General features: G+C 46.8%; 1 annotated feature.

Moving 5' to 3' along the window:
* Positions 296-795: an enhancer, noted in NCBI's record as "H3K4me1 hESC enhancer chr20:55604837-55605336 (GRCh37/hg19 assembly coordinates)". NCBI's record gives its function as "activates a minimal SCP1, AML or CMV promoter by ChIP-STARR-seq in naive H9 embryonic stem cells {active_cell/tissue: H9 hESC(naive)}" and the evidence as "EXISTENCE:reporter gene assay evidence [ECO:0000049][PMID:30033119]".

Raw genomic sequence — 1,427 nt, forward strand, 5'->3', positions numbered from 1 at the left:
GGGAGAGGAAAGCCTTCCAGGAGAGGGAAAGGTGTGTGCAAAGACCTTGTGGCTGGTGTGAACAGAGCAGGTTCAAGGGGCAGGAGGCTGGCAGGGCTGAAAGCAGACTAAGCGGGGAGATGTGGTACATGAGGAGTTGGAAGTTTGGCAGGGCTGGACCAGCAGGGTCTGGACGACTCCGGATGGGATTTCATTCCACGCTCAAAGAGCCACGGGGGATTATGAAAGGTTTTAAACAGGGAGGACCTTGATCAATTTTTGTAGCCAACTTCAAATATCACAGGGTGTTCCAGATAGGCCCATCCTGCTCATTAACATCGCCACCCCCACCCGCATATCATTGGCCAAAACAAGTCACAGGAAATTGCTGCATGCAGAGGGTGTGAGTGCACCTTCCCCCGTGGAAGGGCACTGCAGGGAAGGATGGGAACATGAGGCTAACGGCCTGTCGCAGAGAGTCTGGGATGGGGATAGAGGGAGCAAGAGGAAGACAAAAAGACCACAACTGAGAAGAGAAGGAGAGGTCGAGCAGCCACCTGTCCCCTGGGACTTTGTGGACTGGCAGACCTGTCTGCGGAAAGTTGTGCAAAGTTTTGCTGCTTGATACGTTGAATAACCTCCTTAATCCTTAGGAAGCCCTACTGGGGATAAATGTGCCTTTTCAAGGATTTGGGGGTTTTGTTTGTATTTCCTTTGAGTCCAGTGCCATGCTGACGCCAGCTCAAAGGTGCAAGTTGGAACTCCCAGGTTAATTTGGGACAGAAATAATAATCTGATCTCATCTTAATTTAACTGATTAAATCAGCAACAACCCTATTTCTACGTAAGGTCACATTCTAAGAAACTGAGGGTTAGGACTTCAGCATATAAATATGGTGGGGGTTGGGGGGAGGCCAGGGAACACAATTCAACCCATAACAAATGGTAATTGCTAAAGGGCATTAGCGTATGTGCTGTGAGGGGTATAGCATGGCAGCCCCTCATTATTCTTGGGGGATACATTCCAAGACCCCCAGTGGATGTCTGAAACCATGGATAGCACTCAACTTTATCTATTCTATGTTTTTCCTACACAGACATACCTATGATAGAGGTTAATTTATAAATTAGGCAGAGTAAGTAATTAGTAATATAGAATAATTAAACAATATACTGCAGTGTCACTATTCCTGTGCTTTGGGGCCATTTTTAAGTAAATAAGTAAGGATTCCTTGAACACAAGCACTGGGATGCCGTGACAGTCGATCTGATCACCCAGATGGCCACGGAGTGACTAACGTGCAGGGACAGCGGGGGTCCGCAGGACAAAGGGATGATTCATGTCCCCGGCAGGATGAAGCAGAAGGATGCAAGATTTCATCAAGATACTCACAAGGGTACACAATTTAAAACTTATGAATTTTTTATTTCTGGAATTTTCCATTGCA

This window comes from Homo sapiens, chromosome 20, assembly GCF_000001405.40.
Source record: "Homo sapiens chromosome 20, GRCh38.p14 Primary Assembly".
Lineage (NCBI taxonomy): Eukaryota > Metazoa > Chordata > Mammalia > Primates > Hominidae > Homo > Homo sapiens.